Source organism: Homo sapiens, chromosome 6, assembly GCF_000001405.40.
Source record: "Homo sapiens chromosome 6, GRCh38.p14 Primary Assembly".
NCBI classification, from domain to species: Eukaryota; Metazoa; Chordata; class Mammalia; order Primates; family Hominidae; genus Homo; species Homo sapiens.
In genome coordinates, this window is record NC_000006.12 from 20,112,042 (window position 1) to 20,137,067 (window position 25,026).

The 25,026-nt window shown below is 40.6% G+C and overlaps 1 protein-coding gene across 5 annotated transcripts in view, besides 1 other annotated feature; it reads right to left on the reverse strand.

The window, feature by feature from the left end:
• Nucleotides 1–25,026, reverse strand: part of MBOAT1 (membrane bound glycerophospholipid O-acyltransferase 1) — a 112,786-nt gene that overhangs the window by 12,358 nt on the left and 75,402 nt on the right. For 2 of the 5 annotated variants that reach the window (NM_001080480.3, XM_006714999.3), the window contains exons 5-11: nucleotides 19,103–19,158; nucleotides 16,658–16,712; nucleotides 14,476–14,659; nucleotides 12,367–12,559; nucleotides 6,396–6,499; nucleotides 3,247–3,311; nucleotides 835–967 (exon numbers count right to left, since the gene is read on the reverse strand). In NM_001080480.3, the coding sequence (NP_001073949.1) occupies nucleotides 835–967; nucleotides 3,247–3,311; nucleotides 6,396–6,499; nucleotides 12,367–12,559; nucleotides 14,476–14,659; nucleotides 16,658–16,712; nucleotides 19,103–19,158 (790 nt within the window). Of the gene's footprint in view, nucleotides 1–834; nucleotides 968–3,246; nucleotides 3,312–6,395; nucleotides 6,500–12,366; nucleotides 12,560–13,213; nucleotides 13,886–14,475; nucleotides 14,660–16,657; nucleotides 16,713–19,102; nucleotides 19,159–25,026 lie in introns of those variants that run through there. The other 3 variants (NR_073465.2, XM_011514313.4, XM_006715000.5) reach the window with 3 other exon arrangements.
• Nucleotides 14,843–14,970: a silencer, noted in NCBI's record as "fragment chr6:20127115-20127242 (GRCh37/hg19 assembly coordinates)". NCBI's record gives its function as "represses an EF-1alpha promoter that drives an FKBP-Casp9 reporter gene in an ReSE screen in K562 erythroleukemia cells {active_cell/tissue: K562}" and the evidence as "EXISTENCE:reporter gene assay evidence [ECO:0000049][PMID:32094911]".

Genomic DNA, 25,026 nt, shown 5'->3' on the forward strand with positions numbered 1-25,026 from the left:
TGGATAGCTATGTGGGGGCTCCTGAATTCACATCCAAAATATGGCTCAACCAACGTCAATAAAAACTCTTGGCATCAGAAATAAGGAAGACCACAATCACAATCAAAGATTAAAACAAAATTAAATACAAAACTCCTGTATTTGGCAATGAAAGCACTGAATCGCAATTACTTCTATGCATGTTCGTCTCCTTCTTGGAGGAGAGTTTTATTCTTTATTATCCTGCTCTACAACAAGCAAATTGCAGAACAATCTAGAGAAACTACAGGCTCCTGAAAAATCCTAGAGAACCAAATTTACAAAAGTCATAAACACAAACTAAGCTAACTGCGTTGGGCGTGTGAACACATGAGGTTAACCTCCAACAGACTCACTTCCCGTGGCCGCTATTTCATTGACTGCTCAAGAGACTCTGTGAGTTATTTCTAGGCTCGGGGCAATGAAATGAGAAATTAAGCAAAGTATAAGCAAATTGAAGTCCTATGGTGCCTACATTAATTAATAATCATCATCATCTGTAATTAGTAGACTGTTCACAGACTTTAACAATTAAAAATGTTTTCATCTCTTAGGGTACTAAACATTGTCCCTAAAATTCCTTTTGTTTCACGAACTACGAACATACAATGGTTAACCATTTTTGTAATGACTCCAGAGGTTCCTACATATTGAAGTATTTCTCTAATGGGAAGACTCTTGCATATTGTTTGATTTTTCAAAACATCACTCCCACCTTCACATCCCACCCCCAACCCCTACTAGGACCCAACAGATAACAAACATGCAGGCATCAGATTACTAAGGGGAAAGACCCTAGGCCTAAAGCACACTTACCGCTCTAGCTGCTAATGTGACAAGAATTCCAGTTAAGAAGGTAAAATAGTATCCAGGGTAGACACCATGCCACAAAGCAGACAGGATGAAGGTTAGCACCGTGGGGTACCATGGAACCCGCTGATAGCACACACTGTGAAGAGAGGAAGGAACAAGACACAGGTGAAACATACCAGAAACTTCTAAGTACAGCTGCTGTTTCTTGGATAAGACCATGCAGAAAGCATTTGGTTGTTACTGATGAGATGCCTCCCTAACCGTCTTCGGGGACTTGCAGTGCAATCCAAGCAGCCTGGACTACCCTGGTTTCCTTAAGCATTACCAGATAGGCAATTCACAGTTCAGCCTTTTGAGGGGATGTTATACATTTTTAACCTCCATAGACTAAATGATCTGGACCCATCACACTGTATCTGTTACAGGTCTGAGTGATCACTTTCCACCCAACAGGAGTTCCTGCCTTACAGACGCTTACTCCACCAATGGCCTCATCTACTGGGGGTGCTTAAGTAAGTGCCATTGGCATTAACAATTTCGGAATCAGGGTCTTTAGAAATGAATATCCTTATTTAGTAAAAATTAATTTACCTTTCCCACCAGGCTCCTGTGCCATCTAACCTAATCAGCACCATCACCCTGTTCATCCCTTTTGGCAATGACTCCATCACAAAATCAATGTGTCAGTTATGTGACCTCTTCAGGTCTCACAGTGTCCATCAGACTTCAATCCATGAATCTGCCTTAAAGAGTGATACTGTGACAATCTAGCAAATGTCAGCAAATACCCTGAGGGTTTTTGGCATTCTGATTGTTTATTTAAAAAAAGTGACAGGGAATTCCCCCCCAAAACTCAGTCTATGAATTGCCAACGGCACTCTAAGGAAGCCACCACCTGGTTTACTAAATGAGAGGTCAAATAAATAAAAATTAATAAAAATATATAATAAAAAATAAATAAATAATAATAAAAAAATAAAAAATAAAATTGAAATTCAAACAGTGAACACCAACCCAGCACTGTATGGGTGGTCAACAGTAACCGATTTAAACACAAACTAAGCACTATGGTGCTCTCTTCATAGGAAGAAAAAGAATGCAGTTGGAGAGATGAACACAGGACTGAGACCCCATTTGGACACAGGATGACTCAGCACACTGGGAGTACTCAGTGTATAGAAATGGAAGTTTATGCTAAAATCATTTGCAAAATTTATTAATAGCAATAATGTTGAGGCCAAAATTTCAAGATGACTATGTTCAGATCAATTATCAGAAAATACTGCATGAGTTTACTTTGGAGGAATTACTACATACTCTGTCTCTTCCCTTACCCCAGTGTTTTGACCCATGAAAGATGCTGCTTATCAAAACAGTGGAATCTGCTTCAAAGCTTAATATTTGTATACTCTCCCTGTATTCATTATGATAGGCATATCACTAGGTAGAAGAGCTTGCTGCTTCAAGGACAGCATATTATTATTTCTGTAGTAAATAACGTTTTAAATTTTGGAACATGTAGGAAAACAAAAGCATAGGGAAATAGCAACAAAAATATAAATTTTAAAAGCATAAACATCTGGGATACCATAAAGCATTTACTGCTAGGGGTGAACACTGCAATCATCGGTGATTTGATGCAGGCATTAACCTTCCTTGACATCTGAGCAATAGACTCTCCCTTTAGGTAAGAGGCAGCACAGCAGAGAGGTCAAGAATCTAATTCTGGGCTGGGTGCGGTGGCTCCCACCTGTAATCCCAGAATTTTGGGAGGCCAAGGTGGGTAGATCACCTGAGGTCAGGAGTTCGAGATCAGCCTAGCCCACATGGTGAAACCTCGTCTCTACTAAAAATACAAAAAATTAGCTGGGCTTGGTGATGGATGCCTGTAATCCCAGCTACTCGGGAGGCTGAGGCAGGAGAATTGCTTGAACCCGGGAGGCAGAGGTTGCAATGAGCAGAGATTGCACCATTGCACTCTAATTTGAGCGACATAGCGAAACTCCTTCTCAAAAAAAAAAAAAAAAAAATTTAATTCTGAAACCAGACCATTTGAGCTTGTATCTATCCCTTCACTGGGTGACTTTGGGCAAGTGACATAACCTCTCTGGGTCTCACTTTCCTCATCTGTAAAATGGGGGTAATACCCCCAACATATCATGAGATTGATGGAGGATTAAACCAGGGCCTGGTATACAGGAATGGCAGCATTCAGGGATATAAAATAAATATGCCACATTATGGCCTTCTCAAATCACTGTATTTCTACTTTATCATTTACAGGGCACAGATGTTAATACAAAACAAGAGTGTCAGATGACATTGCCACAGGCAGACTCCCACTGTTCATCTACTGACTCCCCTCTGAACATATCCCAGTGCCCTAAGTAATGAGGTCGTTTTTGTTTTTCTTACCACTTTAGCCAAGTAGCTGTCTGAATATTCCAGTTTTCCAAGTACATTTTGAAACTTGTGGCAGTCTGGAAAGAAGAAAATAACACCTATCATTAGCTTTAAAAATACCCGAAGTAATGGAAAGTTCTCCCCAGTTTCCCTGGCAGCAGGTTAGATACTGTATTTCAATAGTGACTGCTCACAGTTGAGAGCAAGTCAGCTGTTCCATCCTACACAGGACAATTTTCTGCTGTTTATAAGATCCACTTTGCAACTAAAACCTGTCTTGCGAAGTCTCAATTTTTTTTCAACATGTATTTTCAAATTACAGGAAAACTGAAGGAAAGTTTTGTGGGTTTCCCTTTTACTCTGGTTAAAATTTTTTAAGCCATCTGAATTTTATAATTAAATATTCTAAAAAGGGATTTGCCCCAGGAAAAGTTTCATCATGGGAATTTGGTGCCGTTATGGGGACAGCTTAAATTTAATCGTCATCTTTTCACTGCGTAGCCCTCTAAAACTAGGTCAGTCTTGTGCAGTTAACTCTATAAATAGCTACTCAGGTTCCAATGTTTCCAATTGTTTCTGGAATAGTAAGAGATTTTATGCATGAAGGCATCACAGTACAGGAAAGGAAACAAATATCACCCAACCGGCAGTGGCGCAAGCAAATCAACCACCGAGGAAGAGACATCCCACAATAACCCATTACCTGGGTTTTCTCATTAGAAAAAAAAAAAGAAAAAGGTCTTATCCAAGTTCTAGTGATAAAAAGCATGATGCAGCCGGGCGTGGTGGCTCATGCCTGCAATCCCAGCACTTTGGGAAGCCGAGGCAGGCCGATCACCTGAGGTCAGGAGTTCAAGACCAGCCTGGCCAACATGGCGAAACCCAGTCTCTACTAAAAATACAAAAGTTAGCCGGGCCTGGTAGCAGGCACCCGTAATCCCAGCTACTCGGGAGGCTGAGGCAGGCGAATTGCTTGAACCCAGGAGGCAGAGGTTGCAGTGAGCTGAGATCGCACCACTGCACTCCAGCCTGGGCAACATGGCAAGACTCCATCTCAAAAAAAAAATAAAAATAAAAATAAAAATAACCGTGATGCAAACATACAAGGATCAGAATTCCTAAAGAAGGCAGAAAGTCTAAGTGCCACTTTTTTCTGAAGTGTTTTCAACCGTAAGAAAATAATATATAGGCCACACATTGGCCTAATGTAATATGTTTGTAAGGGACAGAAGGAAGGAGGAAGGGAGAGAAAAGTGGGAGGAAGGAAGATAGATAGATGTAAAATAGATCTTTTTATTGTGAGTTTTTATTTCAAAACTTCAAGGAGTTTTATTTATCTATTTCTTCTGCTAATAAAATGCTATAAGCCCAGCCTCAGGGTGTCTTAAACCAATCAGACTTCCTTGTTTTTCTTTAGCTCCTTATTCTATATCAAATGTATGATGAAAATGTAAACTTTCTCTTTCTGGTTTTCTTTTATAATAAGCACATAACTTAATGACTTAGTCCTTTACCCTGAAGACATGTCCACTGTGGAAGGATTCTGTTTTTTGGCACATAGCTAGGGGGACTAGTAGGCAGCCGAAGGTCAAGGGGACCACCCTAAAGGACGTTTACCCAACAAAACTCCAAGGCAGCCAGTCCATGAGTTTGGAAGGAGAGAAGAATCTTAGTGGGAAAAAGGGGAAAGTCATAACACACTTGAACTCTCTCTGACGTCATCTATATAAAAAAGAGAAGCTTACGGATCATGTATACTGTTTTTCCAAAACTGAGACAGGTCATTCTGAAAGCTGGACCTTGTCCACTTACAATGTGGTCCATCGTGACCGGGGACTGCTTCTTGCCTCACAAGCAGCGACCAATAGTAAAAACATTATTTGTTCATTCAGAACTGATGCTGGACCTTGCCCATGCTCCTACAGCATCTGCCAAGGCTTTCCACCCACAGGAGACCCCAGATCCTCTAGGACTATACAAAAATGAGTGTTTTGCCCGCAGTGGCCCTCAATTAATATCTGTTGAATCTGATTGACCTGAATAACCAAATAGCATGATGAGTTTACGTTGAATATATGATGTAATTTACTTAGATAACAGTGGCATGCTTCTATTTCTTTCTGCTTGTCTGCCTTTTGAAGTAGTGCTGTCTCAATGCTAAAAAAAAAAGTGAAAATATAATCCTCCCTATAAATTCCACCATGTTTTGTAGTTAAAATGCAGATCACTTTCCCTCTGGAGGCCGTCCACATGCAAAAAGCCTCAGGCAAAAGATGTTGGGGGCTTCCCCCATGCCTCCTTCTGGCCTAGTTTCCACCCAACGTGGGTGGCAGGTGGTCAGTTTCTACTATCTCTGGCTTCTTGCTCTACACATACAACCCCTCCTGCCCAAACTCTCCAGTGGACTCTGTCTGCCCTGTGGCAGGTGGAAAACCAAAACCAACAGCAAACATGAATCACCTGGCTAGGAATGCAACGCTTCTGCATGTTGAGAATCATGCCCCTCCTCCCATTCAGCTGCAAGGGGGAAAGGATCTGAGACTTGGCATTCCTGTCTACTCTGAGAGCTAGCAATGCAAAGAAAATCCAGAATGATGTGGCCCCAAGGAGCCACCTCTGATAATGAGAGCAGACCAAAAATTGTGGTGCAAGAATGAAGACAGAGAGAAAAACCACACTATTCTAGTGGCCTAAAAGTTGTACATTATGACAATTCTTCTTACAAGTGAATGGATTATAAATGCCTCCAAAGGAACCACATAGAACGTTTGCAATATTGAAATCAAAATACAGGAGCTTCCAGTCTACATTCGTCACTGAAATAGGTAGAAAGAGAAGAGAGAGAGATGACACTGGTACTTTCTAGTTGAAAGAGCAGAAATGTAGACAACAAAAAGATTTTCCGGGCTCTTTTTCAGATGTTTTTGTGTCATTCTTCCTTGAACCATTAGAACTGTCAAGAAAGTAGATATCTTAAAAAAAAAAAAGACAGAAAAAAACAATTCTGAGATGCAAAATGTCCAGTAGGCTGCTGAGCCTGGCAATTCCCTGAGAGCAGCTTTTCTTTGGACACATGGATGAAGCATTCTGGGGATACAACACTCAAAGCAAATCATTTGCTTTCTTCACTATGGAAGTTGGACTTAAAAGCATACACTCACCTCAATTTTCCAGATGTTTAGGTTCGAAAGCAGATCCCAACAGAAATTCCCATTCTTATCCACTCCGCTGAACCCAAAGCCAGCTGCGTTATTCACTGCATCAGCTATGGTTTTTAAAGTAACACATTAGGATATGGAACAAAAGTCACATTGCTGCTTTTAAAAGACACTAAATATCTGTCTAGCTTCAAGATGGAGAAATATGCAGTAGTGTCTTTGGAAAAGGAACCCCAAAATGTAAAGGACCTGCTAACATTCTGAATCAGAAAAACATATTCGGCTGTTTGGTAACCTTGATTTTTATGCATTCATTCCCTTGCATTTAGGGAACACCTGCTAAGGTAAGAGGAAAGAAGCTAGATGTCCATAGAATGCAGAAATGAGAATAAACAAGAAACGAAGAACCGAAATGAATAAATAAACAGTAGAATTTAGTGACCAACTTGACAGGAGGGGAGAAAAGAAAGGTGGTAAGAATAGATCTGAGTTCAAATACAGAGACAAGAAGAAACAAGGGACCCAGAAGAGGTCTCAGAGCTGTCACTAAAGATAGCAGGGCATTACCTAAGAGGCAGTGCTAAATCAGGAGGAGAACCGGCTCCGCAAGAGTGATTGGAGCTCTTTGTGGACATGTTAAGCATGACCCGCCGGTAGTGTATCAGTTGGAGCTGCCAAGATGGGGTTAAAAAAAGTTTAGGTCCCAAGACAAAGGACAGAGCTAGAAATGTGACTCTGGGGCCAGCTGCAATGGAGGCCACATGTGGATAAAATCACCCAAGCCAGCCACCCATAAAGTCCCTTTAAAAGCTCCTGTTTCTATCTTTATCTTATGCCACTGAACTATAAGAGAATGTTCTCCTGCCGGGAATATTTCATCTCTATTCAATTCCTTAATGAACTCAACTCACTTTTTTTATTATGATGACCAAGAGGCTAATTGTCTCTTTCTACTTATTTTAAAATCTGTTAGAATATTTTCTAAGAAAAAATTAAAATGAACTAATCAAAATAATTAAGTGATAGCACTGTGAAATCTTAGATCTGGAGATCTTAGAGAAATCTTCCTTTTTCTATAAAAGTCCAACTCTAGATGGCCTTTGAAGAGCTGCTCTAAAGAAAAACAACCTGCCCTACGTCTGTCTCATTTATATTTGGCAGAGATGATGATTTAACACTGCTTATCTTACGCTTGGCTTCACTGTAAGATGATCTGGTTTCTTTTAGAAGAAAGCATGAAAGAGACCAAGTCCTTCTATGTCATTCTCCCGTCGCCAACTGGATGGGAACCCAGTGGAGAAGAAAAAGACAAACAAAGTGAGGGTGTACCTGTAAGAAACTAATGGTTTTAATTGTGTGGGAACTAATTCGTGAGTGACAGAGATCAATGACACTAAGGGCCTTGAGGTCTGTGTTGAGAACTAAAACCAGAGCCAGGCTGACCGTCACTGGGACCAGCATCATAACTACTTCTAAATTCCTTCTTCCATCTCCAGCCTCATTTCTGGCACAGCTGGTTAGACCTAAGAGAAGAGAATAATGATAACTATCTTTTCTGTGTGTGTGTGTGTGCGTGTGTGTGTGTGTGTGTTTTCAGTGCTTATTATCTTTCCAGGACTCTATATAATACTTTACAGGCAGTTCCTCATTTAATCTTCCTAACAGTGTTGAGACAGAAGGTTAAGGATGGGCTCCGGGGGGAAACTGGACAGGTTTCTACCTCCACTCGGCAGCATACTACATACACGGGCCTAGGAGAAGAATCATCTAACGTCTAAAAACCTGCTCCCTTGAGCATAAAATGGATATAATAATGGTATTCATTTTAAAGGGCTGTTGAAAGGATTAAACAAAATTAAATATGTGTGCAGTGGACAGCTCAGTGCTGGCCCAAGTTAACACTCAAGAAAGGTTAGCTATTATTATTATTATTATGCTATTAAGGGGACTGAGGCTAGAGATATTAGGTAACCATTAAGATCATGTAACCGCTGGGATGACGAAACGTGCGGATCACCTGAGGTCAGCAGTTCGAGACCAGCCTGGCCAACATGGTGAAACCCCATCTCTACTAAAAATACAAAAATTAGCCAGGTGTGGTGGCGGGCACTTGCAATCCCAGCTACTCAGGAGGCTGAGGCAGGAGAATCACTTGAACCCAGGACGCGGAGGTTACAATTAGCCAAGATCGCGCCATTGCACACCAGCTGGGCAACAAGAGCAAAACTCCATCTAAAAAAAAATTTAAAAAAACATGTAGTTTGTCAACAATGCCAGAATCTCAATCCTAGAACTTGATTCCACAACCTGAGCAGGTAAGAGCCACGCTGAAAGAGGAAAATGGTGAAAGGTTCCCAACTACTGACTCTCAGAACCACACTGAGCCGATATCGGAATCCCCACTCTCCCTAGTGATCCCACAGTCATTTATCCAAGCCTGGTTTTTGTCTCAGAGCAGTAACAGGCTCTAAGTTCACCAGTCCAAAAATGGTTTTACTTGTACTATGCATGGTTCCAATCTATTATTACAGATAAATTAATTTGTACGCCCATCTGTTGGACTATGTGGTCCTCAGAAAACAGCCTGGACTAAAGTTAAGTCTCACTAACTAGTACTAGTACTAAGTAGCAGGGAGAAAACAGCCAGGACCATACACTAAGTCCAAAAGAAATAGTTTGATTATTTGAATATAAACAGTATCTAGAGCTAGGCTAACACAGTGCAGCTCAGTGGAGATTCATCAAGAGGCCAGCTTTAAGGATTAAATTTATAATCATGTGTAATTAGTACATCAATTATATGTAAATGGTGTTTTAAAGGGAGCTGGAGAAAACAATTATTCAGTTAAGCAGTTTAAATATTCCCTGATACACTATTCATTGCTTCTTTATTCGTAAATAAGACAAAGGTTAATTTCAGACCAGCCCGTGCAATCTAAACTGTAACAAACCTCAAATTGAGGCCATACAAATTAATCAAGTGTTTCTACTGAAGCTACCCAAAAAAGACAAAGAAAAGGGAAGCATGGGGGGGAGTAAAAGAGCTAAGTCCACAGAGAAAGCTCTCCACAGGAAGGGGTACCTCTACACTGTACTGCAGATGTCTGGGGAACTCCCCGAAGGGTAGAAAAGTGCAGGTGCTCTGTGTTCCCATGGCACTTCCCAGTCCAGGTCCTTTCTTGTCTTGGACTTTCCCTATGCAATGGAATGGCCTTTCTTTCCTCCTGAGATCAGGAGCTGATTTAGTCCAGAAGCTAGCCCTTAAGCCCTGGGATACAGAAAATGGGAGCAGGAGGATAGGAAGAGAAAAGAGAAAAGGAAGGTGGGTGAGGCAGCAGAAGATAGTAGGAGGGAATTAGATATATTCTCTCTCTCTCTCTCTGTCCCCTACACACACACACACATACACATTCACTCAGATTAGAGGAAATTAAAACTATTAATTATTTGGCCAGGAACAGTGGCTCATGTCTGTAATCTCAGCACTTTGGGAGGCTGAGGCGGGTGAATCACCTGAGGTCAGGAGTTCAAGACCAGCCTGGCCAACATGGTGAAACTCCGTCTCTACTAAAAATACAAAAATCAGCTGGGTGTGGTGGTAGGCACCTGTAATCCCAGCTACTTGGGAGGCTGAGGCAGGAGAATCACTTGAACCAGGGAGGTGGAGGTTGCAGTGAGCCGAGACCGCACCATTGCACTCCAGCCTGGGTGACAAGAGCGAAACTCCATCTCAAAAAAATATATATATATTTCACATAGAAAAAATAAGGTCAGTGATGTAAGTAGGCTTCCAACCATAGCAGGTCTAATGCCTACCTGCTAAAGAAGTCATCATTTGTAACTGCAGAACAAGAAATAAGATAAAAGAAGACTACTGAACCTTCCCTAGTGACCAGTCTGTATTCATCCGTTTCTCTTTATTCCTCCCACTGGGACACTGCTTGAAGAGTATTGCCTGGTGGCTGTATGTCTGTGCTCCCAACCATGCAACAATCTTGAGGGAGAGTCAACGTCCTACCTTTTGATTCCTCCTAGCACAGAATCTGGTACAAAACTCCTCAAATTAAATTGAAAGTGTACAGAAACAAAATTTCCCTCATTGTAAATTTTACAAAAGCTCTAAGTCAGATCTCTCCAGCCAAATGTTACATAAATACAGCATTGGACTGAACTTATGCAGGAACATTTTGGCCCTTAAAAATAATTTGGACTGGGGGAGGAAGGAATGGGGAGTTATTTTTTACTGGGTACAGAGTTTCTGTTTGGGTGATGAAAAAGATCTAGAGATAGACGGTGGTGATAGTGGCACAGTATTGTGAATGAACTTAATACCACTGAAGTGTACCCTCAAAAATGATTAAAATGGTAAATTTTATATGTATTTTGCCACAATGAAAAAAAAATTATTTTTTTTTTGAGGCAGAGTCTTGCTCCATCATCCAGGCCGGAGTTCAGTGGCGTGATCTCGGCTTACAGCAACCTCCACCTCCCCGATTCAAGTGATTCTAATGCCTCAGCCTTCTGAGTAGCTGAGATTACAGTAGCTGGGATTTTCCTAGTAATTTTTTGTATTTTTAGTAGAGACGGGGTTTTGCCATGTTGGGCAGGCTGGTCTTGAACTCCTGGCCTGAAGTGATTCGCCAGCCTTAGCCTCCCAAAGTGCTAGGATTATAGTCATGAGCCATTACACCCAGCCAAAAAAATTATAATTTTTTTTAAAAAAAAAGTAATTTGGTACCTGCAAACTTTAACTGGAACTTAAAACTTGAAGGATGAACTGAGAGAGAAGAGGAACTCAAGGAATTAAGTGCTATTCCCTCATTCGTGAGATGTGGGCTGAACCCTCAGAAACCAAGTTTAATCTTCTATTTTATTTAATAAGCCAAGTCACTGCTCTCTGACATCAAGCGCAGGTCGCTTGCAGCTAAGACACACAACTCCCATCCCTGAAAGGGTTCCAGTGTGACATAGACAGGGCTTCCGTACTTTATCAACACCCTTTCCCAGTCTCTAAGTATACAGATGGGTTTATAGCTCATGTTAGTAAAGCTTTATGCAACTGCAGTCTAAAATTGTTTGAAAGGAAAGAGATAAAAGCTTAATATAGACCAAGTTATCCCACAGGAAAAAACAAAAGGTGTGATAAAACCAAGTGAAGTTGAACTTTCTACCTAAAAAAAAAAAAAAATCACTTGAAGTCAGCTTCTTTCTAAGACATAAAAACCTAACAACGGTTCCTTAAAGAAGTGTAACCTAAATTAGCATGTGTGTTGGTCAAATTAATTCAAGGTGCATCCTATATTACATAAAACCCAGAAAAACTACAAAAAAGCCAGATCAAGGCTGGGCGTGGTGGCTCACACCTGTAATCCCAGCACTTTGGGAGGCCAGGGCGGGCAGATCACGACGTCAGGAGATCGAGACCATCCTGGCTAACACTGTGAAACCCCATCTCTACTAAAAATACAAAAAAAATTAGCTGGGTGTGGTGGCGGACGCCTGTAGTCCCAGCTACTGGGAGGCTGAGGCAGGAGAATGGCATTAACCCAGGAGGTGGAGCTTGCAGTGAGCCAAGATCGTGCCACTGCGCTCCAGCCTGGGCGACAGAGTGAGACTCCATGTCAAAAAAAAAGAAAGCCAGATCAATCATTCCAGAATTTCCCCTCAACTTTCCACTGCTTTACATGGCCAACTTTGATTGGTAGAAGGAGAAGCTTCCAAGTTTTGACATCTGCTAATAACATTGGGTTTAAACAACAGCCAGGGTGTTTTTCTCCTTATCATGGAGAACTGAGTTTATGGAGGGTGGGAGAGAGGAGTGCTATGTTGGTACGTTAAAACTGACCCTGACTCAACTGCCTCCCATTACGTGTTGAGCTTCTTTGATGAAGTGATCCAAAACGTCGTTCTGGCTAAGCCATTCAAGCAGTAGCATTTTTCCCTCATTCAGTTACAGCTACTCCATCAAACTTACCTAATGTCCATGCAAAGTAATACTTGGGCTTTGAGGCTTGCATGACAACATATAAGTAGCAGAGTCGAGCCGGAAAGCTTGCTTTATGGACAAACCAGTCATCCACAAGGCAGGTGACAGGAAAGGTCTTCGTTAGCGTCAAAAACAAAAGGAGAGACACCAAGGTGATGCCCAACTTGTGTATCACAGCTCCCTGAAAATGGGGAAAAATCAGTGTCACCGTGCAGAAGGCTCAGGTATGAAGAAAACAGCTTTGGAATGGACCTGTTAAGGACAACGTTGCTCCAACAGCTGCTTGGCATTATTCCCCAGAAGGAGTGACAACAGGCATTCTTCCTCATGAGACAAATCTGACAATGGAGATTAGGTGCTATATTTAGATACAGAACATGCCTCTGACACTTGGGGGTTGAATGTATCTAGACTGGAAGAAAACTTCCATCAGCATATTCAACGAACAAAATGTAAGTACTTATATTATCCAAAACACAAGAGAAATGGATAACAGGGTGGCAAGTTTCCATCAAGAAAAACAAAAAACATTTGCACATTTGCCTTCTATTCCTGTGGCCAGCAGAGCCCAGGAAATGGGCTTGAATCACCAGTAGGGAAGACAGAGGCTCAGGTACGAAGGATTCTGAGCAAGTGATTGAATACCTGGGCCAGCCAGGACATGGGCAGGTAATGGGGAGCTCTAGAAAGCCTTCCAGGGTGGTTTAGATATAGTCTACTCTGGGGTTAATTATGTGCTGACTTTTTAAATTCCTCTGGACAGAGTGATTTTGCCTAGCTCCCCTGACATTTCAAGGAATGTCCTTCAACATTCAACAGAACTCTAGTCTCCGACTTCATAAAAAAAAGACTTTTATTGGTAGTATGGGCATAGCAATAGCACCTTCCTCAGAGGGCACCTTGGGGTTTAAGTGAATGAGTATTTGCAAGGTCCTGTGAACAGTGCCTGGATCCCAGTTAAGTGCTTAGCACGCTCAGCCACAATTACAGCTATACCACTGATAGGCACCAGCTCATGGATCCCAGCCCTTTCCCAGCTGTATGTCTTGAACTAAAACGCAACCTCACCACTTCACCTTATCTGTGCACAAAAATGCAAGTGTTTCCTTGGAGAGTGGCAGAAAGACTCTCTGATGACATTACCTTATAAATAAAAGCACGAGAAGCGTGAAAACACTAAGGTGACAGATACTGCCTAGAAATGCTGTCACTTTGGTGTCTCTCACAACCATGGTGACTTCACTCCTAGATCGTTTTGGTAAAGCAGATGAACTTGAGATACTTGACCAACCATAAAGTGCTGAGAACTGAACTATGTCAAAAATATCTAAAAACTCATACCTAATTAATAAATCCCTTAAGTTTTCAAATACTTAACTCATAGTCTTTGCCAAGGCGTTAGCAGTTTCAAAATGTTTAACTTGAATTATCCTCATTTCCTTCCTTTTCCAATTTTCACCACTCCTTTCGTTAATTACAAATGTCCCTTAAATATAGGATATTTGACCTGAATAAATTGAGCATATTTGTAAAGTTCAATGAGTTATTCTAATATTGACTAATTAGAGATTGATAAAATTCAGTTAAGTTTTAAAATATTATTTCAAAAAGTCATCTTAAATTCTCTCAAGGTCAACATAAGCAAGCTTTAGGCATGCCAAGGTAAAACTGGTTTCCCTTGCAATAAGTGAGCTCTACAAGAAAAACACAGTAATTCCAGTTCCGTGGTCCCCCTCCCCCTCACCTTCTATGCCATATCATCTTTTGGCTGTACTTGAATTTCAACTCATAAAGGCAAAACACCCATAGTATTCAAACGTGTTAACTCCACAGTGCTGGACACCTTGTATGCACTAAATATTGACTGATGAACTGACTGCTTTCATTTTCCTAGCCAATGAGCTTCTCAGTAAAATAAACACCCATTGCTGCAAAATAGAACTGCTGCAAATAAGTAACTATACTGGTATTTTAAATAAATGAGAAAAGTTATTGGCCAAGCTTTCTGGTAAACTGTTTGGCTTCTTAATTAGAACCATTATTAGAGAGAGTCAACCCTGGCAGCAAAACCCTATTCTCTAGACACTAAAAACTTACTGTGGGAGAAGGTTCTGGCAAGCTGTGGAAACCTTTTCGCTTCCAGTTCACCTCCAGCAACTTCATGTGTATATGCTTCCCCTCAATGAAGGCTATGTAGTCCTTGAAATTGTTACAAGGACCAGCTATGACACTCATGAAATTGAGAAGGTAACTTAAGTATTCCAAAAAAGAGGGTTTCACTCTGTGAAAATAAAGTAAATAAATTGAAAAGTCTTCAGTCTTTGCTTTTTCTTCAGAATCTGTAAATAAGCAAACACAAATGTTATCTCTGTAGATTCGATACATGACATGACCTTTCCTTGTTTTGTTTCTACAAAGTCAGCCGAGGAGAAATCTTGTGGAAAGGAAAGGTTAAAGAAGCAGGGGGCTCACAGCAGGCACAGAGCTCCATGCTGCCCTCTGCTGGCCAGACACAGCCGTAGGCACTCAGAGCTGGGCGAGGGCAAGTGCAACTCAGGCTGGGAAATGTCCTTATCTCATCAACCTTTCCTGTCTACAGGACAAAACGAAGGTAATAAACATAAAGCAGGGCGGAACCTGACCTAATGTTAGCGGATCGAGATGCTTCCAAATGGGAAAACTCCCTCCCGATTGCCAACATAAATACAAAACAAATGATGGGTGGAACCAGTTTCCACTGAAAGAGGCCACGCAGAAGAACCGCAGTAGCAGCCTGTTGTCTGCTTTGGCAACCAGGCCTGAGTTCCTGAGTAACAGACCAAGGTAGTGGAGGGAAAAAAGTCTGTAGAGAACTGTTCTGTGTGGTGCTTTAATGGCATTTTGGAAGGCCTGTTCTAGCAAGATAGAATAAAGACTCCCTGAAATGTCATTGCTAACCAGTCGCCGGAATTATCCCCTATAGCAGGGATTCCCAACCCCTGGGGCTCAGACTGGTATTGGTCTGTGGCCTGTTAGGAACTGGGCCAACAGCAGCAGGTGAGCGGCATGTGAGCAAACAAAGCTTCATCTGTATTTACAGCCTCTCCCCATCACTTACATTACCGCCTGAGCGCCACCTAATGTCAGATCAGCAGCGGCATTAGATTCTCATAGGAGTGCAAACCCTATGGTGAACCGTGCATGCCAGGGATGTAGGCTGCACACTCCTTATAAGAATCTAATGACTGATGATCTGTCACTGTTCCCCAACACCCCCAGATGGGACCACCTAGTTGCAGGAAAACAAGCTCAGGGCTCCCGCAGATTCTACATTATGGTGAGTTGTATAATTATTTCATTATATATTACGATGTAATAACAATACAAAGTGCACAATAAATGTAAGGCCCTCCTGAAACCATCCCCCCACCACCACCCGCAACCCTGGGTCTGTGGAAAAACTGTCTTCCACTAAACTGGTCCCAAACAGGTTGGAGACTGCTGCCCTACAGCATTTACACCTCCATTGTGCTTAGGAAAGGGCTGATTCATTAGAATCTTTCAATAGTGCTCCACTGCTTCCAAGTCCCAATTCCTTAATGCAGGAATGAAGAAGTCAATCTCCTCTACCACCTGGAACCTTCCTCAGTTATGCCAGTTGTCCCTGCTTCTGTCTAGCAGGAACCCCCCGCCCCTCCACCATGGCTGCACCCGATGTGCTACCCCACATGCCATCTTTACTCTCAGATCAAAGTTATTCCCCTCCCACTTCTTCTCCAACACTCCCCCTTCCTACTTCACATCAACACTGGCAAAGCCACCTGTAGCCCTCCTCCTGTATTTAACTCAGCTATACTCACCTCTCCTGCCCTACTTCCTATCTTTTTTCAGAGTGGCATTTAATCACACTGACATTGATCATTCACTATTCTTTAGGACCCCCAAGACACATGGCCAGTAAGAATACTTCCAGAGTAAACATAACAACCCCAGGGAAGGACAGCCTCGCAGAGGTACAGTTCTATTTACTCTTTGACCTAACGATTCTACTTCTGAGACTCTATCCTACAGTTCTACCCTAACACATTTCAAAATGACCTAGTACAAGGTTATTCATCACTTAATCACTTGTAAAAACCAAAGACTGGTAACAATGCACATGTCCATCAATAGCAGATTCATAAAATAAATGATATTATATCCATAGAACAGAATTAATGTGTAGATATTTTTAAATGAGGAAAATCTCTAGATACTGATATGCAAAGGGCTTGTTAATATATCGTTACACTTCACTTACTTGATAGCAAGTCGATGTTGTTCAGCAGAAAGGTCTTCAGCTCTTCGACCTAATCCTATGAAAAAGAAAAGAATTTAGAAATAAGATGTTTGAAGTGAATTAGATGACAAATTATAAAAGGGTCTTATCAAAGTCATTTGAACCAGGTAATCTTTGTTTGCTTCATAAATCATAAAGAGTTCCTGTTTTTCATTTTTTTTTAATGCCCTGGACCAAAAGAGCTACCCATAAGTACACGTGTGAGAAGCAAAGTCTCTGTAGGTTCACATGGAGAGGGGAAGGACTCAAAGGTTTCTCCTACTTAAACTGTACAGTATGACATGGATCCCAGAGAACCCTCCCCATCTGGTGCATCTGGGAGTTCCTTGCCACTTTGTATATGTCTTCCCTGATACATCAGAGAGAGCATCTTGCCTTTCACAGGCTGCCACAGCTTAAATACCTCCCTGGCTGCACTAGGTGCAGACACTTACTACAAGCTGAGAGCCTGGTTGTGGGACATAATGGAAAAAGAAACAGGAGACTTTCCTCTTCCAGAACAATAAAAAATAAAAAATAAAATGGGGGAAATGTAATCTTAATTGTGGGAAAATTACAAAGAAATTATCAGAGTTTTCTTCTTTTTATCATTCGTCCGAATCAGAAAAACTCCCAACCAAGTCACATCCATGCTTTCTGTGAAATGTACACACTAACTTAGAGTCAAAGAAGCTGAAGTATTATCTTAAAAGCAATATGTCAACTCTAAAACTGTATATTCAGCTAAGGCTGAGTAGGGTCATCAACCATGAAGGCAATTCAAAATCATGCCTAAGAGGAGGCAGAATATTTCTGGAATTTACTCGTTCCTCCCACACACCAGGAAAAAAAAAAAAGGCGAGTAAACATTTTGCTGCATTTAAGGGATGTTCCAGGAAATATGGTAAACTGAGAATGCTTTAAAAAGTAAATTTAGGCAACGAAGCTGCTTAAAAAGAAAAAAGAAGCAGTGTTTTTAAAAACTCATTTTTATAAGATCTCATCAAATAGTAATCGCTGGCAATCCTAGAAATTAAACTGATTTTGGCTATTGATTTCAGTTGCTAATGTCTATAACCACTACCAAGGGGACTTTCCAGCTACAAATAGAGTAACTAACTCACCCTGCTTTGCTCCGGACTCTCTGATTTTGGCACTGAAAGTCACATCTTGTGAAACCTTTTAGTACTGGGCAAACCAGGACAGTTGTTTACCCTAGAAAGACTCCATCCTTGGTATAAAACTACCTGGTTCTCTACAGAATGACTAAATCACCAAGTATGAACTAGGGATACACTGGGTCAAATGAAATTAAATCAGTTCACAAGCTTTAAGGAAAAATAAGGAAACTAGCTGTCAGAGATAAATTTCAACCTCTCAACATTTAAAAAAAAGTCAGTCAAAAAGTGCTTGTTAGAGCAGTACAAATCCACAGAATATACTTTTACTAATTGCACCTGGCCTCTCCAAAGCCCATATTGAAATCTTCCGCCCAGCTGAAATAATCTTCCTCCTTTTCTTGGAACCCAGTTTGAACAATGTAAATCACACTTTCTGGCCATTTTTAGGCAGTGCCTGAGTGAAGAAAATGTTCAGTTTTATACAAACAGAAGATTCTTCCTTTTCCCAGCTTTGTTGTTGTTGTTGTTGTTGTTGTTATGGAGTCTCGCTCTGTCACCCAGGCTGGAGTGCAGTGGCGCGATCTCGGCTCACTGCAACCTCTGCCTCCCGGGTTCAAGCGATTCTCCTGCCTCAGCCTCCTAAGTTGCTGGGATTACAGGCATGTGCCACCACGCCTAGCTAATTTTTGTATTTTTAGTAGAGACGGGGGTTTCATCATGTTGGTCAGGCTGATCTCGAACTACTGACCTCGTGATCTGCCCACCTCGGCCTCCCAAAGTGCTGGGATTACAGGTGTGAGCCACCGTGCCTGGCCCCTTTCCCAGCTTTTTATAGGGAATTATCATTAGATAATTTTCCAAGCCAAAAAAAAAAACAAACAAAAACCAACCTAGCATTTAAAAATGATTAACCAGCCAATACTATTTAATCTTTCATTAGCTTGTGAGCTTCTCAGAGATTAAACCAAAGCTAAAAGGATGTCATTTCTTTTTAACAGATTTGAAAACAAAGGGCAGAGAGTGTCACAAATTAACTTAAATTTAAAACATTGTAAAGATAAACAGAAAACACAGAGTTCTCAGTACAAATACGTCAGCAAATTTAGACTGCCGATTCTGCAGGAAAATGGTGAATCATGGCTGGAAAAGTGAAAGGCTATGATTGCCGAGGCCTGGAAATTTTGAACAAGATAAAGCAAGATCTGCCAGCATTTGTCTAAACTTTGGACTGTGTACATAGTATAAAAAGAAGAGCTCTGCATGTCAGGCTCACTCTGAGAACCAAAAGGAGGGCTGCTGTTCTTACCATCATGAACCTGGAATGCCAAGGTTGTGATCTTCTGAGTGACAATCATCAGAGGCCTGGAAGGAAGACAGAAAATAATCAAGATTGGCAAGAAGGCCATTGATGTGGTCTGGCTGTGCCCCCACCCAAATCTCATCTTGAATTGTAGTTCCCATAATCCCCACATGTCGTGGGAGGGACCAAATGGGAGGTAATTGAATCATGGGGGCAGTTACCTCCATGCTGTTCTCGTGATAGTGAGTGAGTTCTCACAAGACCTGATGGTTTTATAAGGGGCTTCCCCCTCTCCCTTCACTCTGCAGTTCTCCTTGCTGCTGCCATGTGAAGAAAGCCATGTTTGCTTCTCCTTCCGCCATGATTGTAAGTTTCCTGAGGCCTCCTCAGCCATGAGGAACTGTGATTCAATTAAACCTCTTTCCTTTATAAATTACCGAGTCTTGGGTATGTCTTTATTTAGCAGCATGAGAACGGACTAATACAGCCGTTGGAAAGAAACTTTCATTCTATTTTTCTGGATGGTGGTTTTTTCATCTCGAAGTTTATTAAATAAAATAGAAAAATAATGAATTTGAAATAAACCATTTTTATTTCCCTTCGAAATCACTTTACATAGATAGATATAACAACACTGAATAAGAAGATCACATTAGACACTCTTGTGCCATTACTTGGTGTAGCTCCTGGACCAGCACCATCAGCATGCCCAGGAGCTAGTTGGAAATGCAGACTCCATTCCAGACCTAGAAAATGAGAATCTGCATTTTTTTTTCACTCTGTTGCCCAGGGTGGAGTGCAGTGGCATAAACATGGCTCACTGTGGCCTCGACCTCCTGGGCTCAAGCAATCCTCTCACCTCAGCCTCCCAAGTAGTTGGGATTACAGGTATATACCATCGCGCCCGGCTAATTTTTGTATTTTTTGTAGAGACTGGGTCTTACTCTGTTGCCCCAGCTGGTCTCGAACATGAGCTCAAGTGATCCTCCCACATGAGCCTCCGAAAGTGCTGGGATTACAGGTGTGAGCAACCATGCCCACCTAAGAATCTGCATTTTAACAAGATTGCCAGGGAATTCCACTCATTAAAACGTGAGAAGAGCTGGTTTGGGAGATACACAATCCAGTGCCCTGATTCCACCTGGATAGACAGATACACGGGCTCCTTCATCTAAAAATGCTCTACTATGCTTTGTTCTATAAAAGGCATAAAGTAGAAGATACATTTGTAAAATGCAGCTGCCTGTAAATAAACCATTTATTGGCCAACAATAATACCAACTTTAATTTGGAAAAAGCCATCAAATAAAAATTTGCCTGAGAAGTGGCACCAGTGTCAACAAGGCTGCCAAGGTATCTTAATGAGGGGAAGAAGAGTCTTTTTAACAAATGGTATTGGGACAATGAGATGTACACATGAAAGAACAGAAAAATCAATTCAAAATGGATCAAAGACCTAGATCTAAGAGCTAAAACAAGAGAACCCTTAGAAGAAAACGTAAGTATAAATCTTTGTGACTTCAGGTTACGCACTGGTTTCCAAAAGCACAAACAATAAAAGAAAAAGTAGATTAAATGAATATCATTAGAATTTAAATGTTTGTGCTTCGAAGGACACACATCACCCAAGAAAGTGAAAAGATATTTCAAGGAATGCAAGAAAATATTTGCAAACCATATATCTGATACGGGACTTTACTAGTCTATATAAAAACACTCTTACAACTCAATAATACAAACCACTTTTAGGCCACATCCGATGTTGTCAACGACACTCATCCACTTCTCTGTGAGTCTATTTTCTTGTCTCATTCCTCTCATCCTAATTCCCATTTTCCACCTCTTGAAAATAATGAGGATACATTTTCAACTATAAATATATGTAAATAAGATAAACTATTTTAAAGAAAGTATCAACAAATACCCTTTGAAATCTTACCACTATTACCCAAATTTATATCTTATTTGCAATATCTTTCTATCTTACAGCCCAATGGCCAGCGTTCATTATTTGAAACAAGATTGCTAATGTTGTACATGAGGCTGAGAGAGGGAAAGAGAACTCGGCTGTGAAAGAAGAAAAGGAAGGTCATCTGCTCCACCAGATCTGGTGAGGCAAGTGTAGCAAGATGTACTCACAGATGACACCCATTTACACCATGCTCTTTTATATTGAAAACAAAATTGCTCTTGCAGAAGCATGAGGTTTTGGTCCTAGTAATAAGGGCTACATTAAAGCTTTTTTAGACCAGACTGTAGCTCACCCTCCTGACAACAAGACTTCTGACCCATAACATGTAACACATGAAGAGGGCTATTTTTCTGGAAAGAGATTCACTCGAAGCATCACACTCAAGGTAGTTTCCAAACACGGCCTTCAAAGCACAAGAGTTTTCTTTCCAAAGCCTTTTTGTCTCATTTTGCTCTTTCTGAATGACAAAAAAAACCTCTAGGAACCAGCCTTCCTTATACAAAGCCCAGTGTGCCAACCATGCTATTTGCAAACCAAGTAAGTTCCTATGTTCAATTGATAAAGAGATAAGACGTGTCATGGTATTAGCCTATCTTTCTGTCTCTGTAGAAAAAGAACATTTGTTTTCCTCTATCTTGGGTTAGACCTAATGTATTCCATGATTCGGTGGCGCACGTTAAGCAAAACATTTAGTAGCCTGATATTTACATGTGCTGTGGCCGTAGAATGTACCTCTCAGATCTGGTGCTGTGGGAGTGAGCTGGCCCCATTGCTGCGATTTTACCCATGATCACACTGACACCATGCCTCCCTCAGGCTGCTCCCAGCTATGACTGAGTGCAGTAGGGACACTTAGGCAGACCCCTCCCTACAAACTGTGATCCTCATCTGTCCAAGAATTTTATCTCATTCAAGGACTCTACTGAATTTGCCAAAACTGTCTTAGAACTGCACTCCAATCCAAGACCTTTTTTCTTCTCTTCCTTCCCTTTTTCCTTCTCAGGCAAACCTGCATTTCAATCTGTTGGCTTTTCCAGCCTCATCCATTTCCCTCTCCAATTTCCCTAGCAGGCATTTCACCAAACAAATCTCTTACATGCCTGTTTCCAACTTGGCATCTGCTTTTCAGAGAACCCAGACAAATGCAATACATAATACTGAATAGCTAGAGCAAAGTCAATAAATACTAATTATTCAATATAAAATCTGTACCATTGGGTCTATGTAAAAGCCATACTGTCATTCCTCAGAAAAGATGTCCTTTTTATAGAAAAAAAAAAATAGAAGCTATGGGTAAAATGTTGTCCCACATCATCTAGACCATACTTTCAACAATATATTGCTTCCATTTTAAATATCTAAAGAAGTTAATTTAAATATTTAAATTTAACAATCTAAATAAAAAGAAACAATTCACATACTCACATATGACAGTGAGTTTGTAAAACACAATGAACTAGTAACTTATAAAAATGCTGATCTAAAAGCAACTAAAAGGAAAAGGAGTTTAGAATCTTCCTACATACTTACTTTTGTGCAGTGCAAGGAAAAGCACCATACTGTCTTTCTCAAAACAAGTTCTCTCTGAACACTTTTTAATTTGATGAATTTATTTAAACTTATGGACAGATCTGATATGAAAATGTACTTCGCCCAAGTTACTAAGACTTGAGAATCAAATCCTTAGAGTTACTGACTTAAGATAAAACTTAAGTATCATCTATGTCATACTTCAATCAAATCATAAAACAATTCAGAACACATTTATTGGTTTATGATTGGAATTCATGTTCTTTTTTTTTTTTTTTTTTTTTGCAAAAAAATACAAAACTCAGTACAGGAGAACATACTAAAAGCACAGGAAGGACAAAAAAAGGAGGAGATCCATAAATGGCTCCTTGATGCAGCCCCAACAATTTCCTTAAAATTATGAGGCCTCCGAACTTGAGCTTCACTCAGATTTTCACCTCTCCAACCTTGGATTTAAACGCACTTGTCAATCATAGGATCCAATCATAGGATCCACCATCTGACCAACCTGGAGTTGGATAGACTCCAGCATGGATGAAGTAGGGCTATTTTACTATTGTCCTATACATTTTTTTCATTATTAAAAAAAGCCAAAGAAAAATCTTATGTTTCTTCTTGAAACTAAGATCATTAGTCAAGACTAGACAATGAAATATAATAGAATAGGAAAAATTAAGAGAAAACAGGTAGCTGAAGATATGTTTGAAGTAAAAAGAAAGCTAGAACAATGCCAGCACCCCCCATTATTGCCTTCTGATACAGACTCTAGGCAATTCATCAGATGTGGTACCCATTCATTCATTCATTCCCAACATCAGCTCCTAACCAAAAATAATTTATCTTTAAAACATTAAACAAAATCTTAGATTTGAGCAATATTTCAATAAAACCTACCTATTTTACCTTAATCTTTGGACCTAAAGTGGTAGAGTTCTGATGTCCCAGTAAAGGTAGGATGGGACAATGAGATAACCCAGACATCGGTTATTGGTGTCGGAAGAGCCAACCAATCACACGTCTGGCTGGCCAGCATCAAGATGAACTGACATTCAAGCCTCTGATGTTCTCCCAACAGGTAATTTTAGAACCAAAAGGCTCTACTTCGTATCTTTATTACTTCCTTTGCTTATAATAAAAATCTACTTGTGGTACTTGGACAGTAGAAAAGCAGGAAGTCAGGCAAGCAAGAAGTTTGGCAGGGGAAGAGAATACAGATTCAACAAACTTCCACTCAACAGCAACCTAGACCGCTACTGCCATCTCGCACAACTCCAGTGGGTGCCAAGATACAATGTGACTTGTACAACCTGCAGCTCGGACCTGGTAGCGAGGGACAGAGAAAGCTCAAGCAGCATTTCCTCACCTCTCTATTGCTTCTGCCTCTCCTATACCCTCCCCACACTCCCTGAATGACTGCAGAGGAGGAGGAGGATATTACAGCTTCAGTGGAATGCTCCCAATTCTTATCAATTATGTCAGCATGAGAAAATAAGCAACTCCAGAAGTTGCAGCAAAGGAAGTACATAGTTCTACCAGGCTTCCTAGGGATGCAACTAAAGGCAGAGATCACGCCTCTGGACTCATTTCAGAGTTCATTAGTATCTATTCAGAACCATCCAGGGGTGAATTAGAGTAGGAAAGCTTTTACTCTTTTAATTTCTTCAAAAATTTAACTTCTATATTTTGGCACTCAACAACAAAATCACCAATTCTCGATTTGAATATTCTCTATATTCGAATATACTTGGTATAACTTATGTCTGCAGAATTAAATTCCAAGTGACTGTGTTAGTTATTGAAAAGCTGGCAGCAGCATGAAAAAGAAACATGAAATAAACAAATCTTGAAATCTCTTTGCAAATATCCTCTTTTTTTCCCTATTATGGAACCCAATTACTTGAACATATTGGGCTGGTCAGATGGAGTGACCAGGATGTCATAAACCAACAGAGGAAAACACTGTCCACGGAACAATAGGACAAATGATCTCTATCGCTAGCAAGAGGTACAGGCAAGTAATATTTCTATTACACCCAATTAAGGCAACAAGGAACACAAACAGCAGTTGTTCCAATTCTGCTAGCTTCAGTGCACCATAACCTTTTAACACGCATGCAAATATATTTAAATAAAATTCCAGGATTTTCTCTCACTATTATAGTAATATAAAAGAGTAGAATGAGTATTAAAATCACCAATACTGCTTTCGCATTTTCAATATTTCCTTTCACTCTTTTTCTATACATGTCCACATTAAAAAGAAAAATGCAATCTTGGGACATGTATTTGTCTTATGGTTTTTATAGTCTTTGAAAATATCATTTTCAATGGAGGCATAGTAGCACCATAATTTAATCATTCATCTCTTTTAGACCATTTAGGATGTTTCTGGTTTATCACCATTATTGACAACAGCTGAACATCTTTA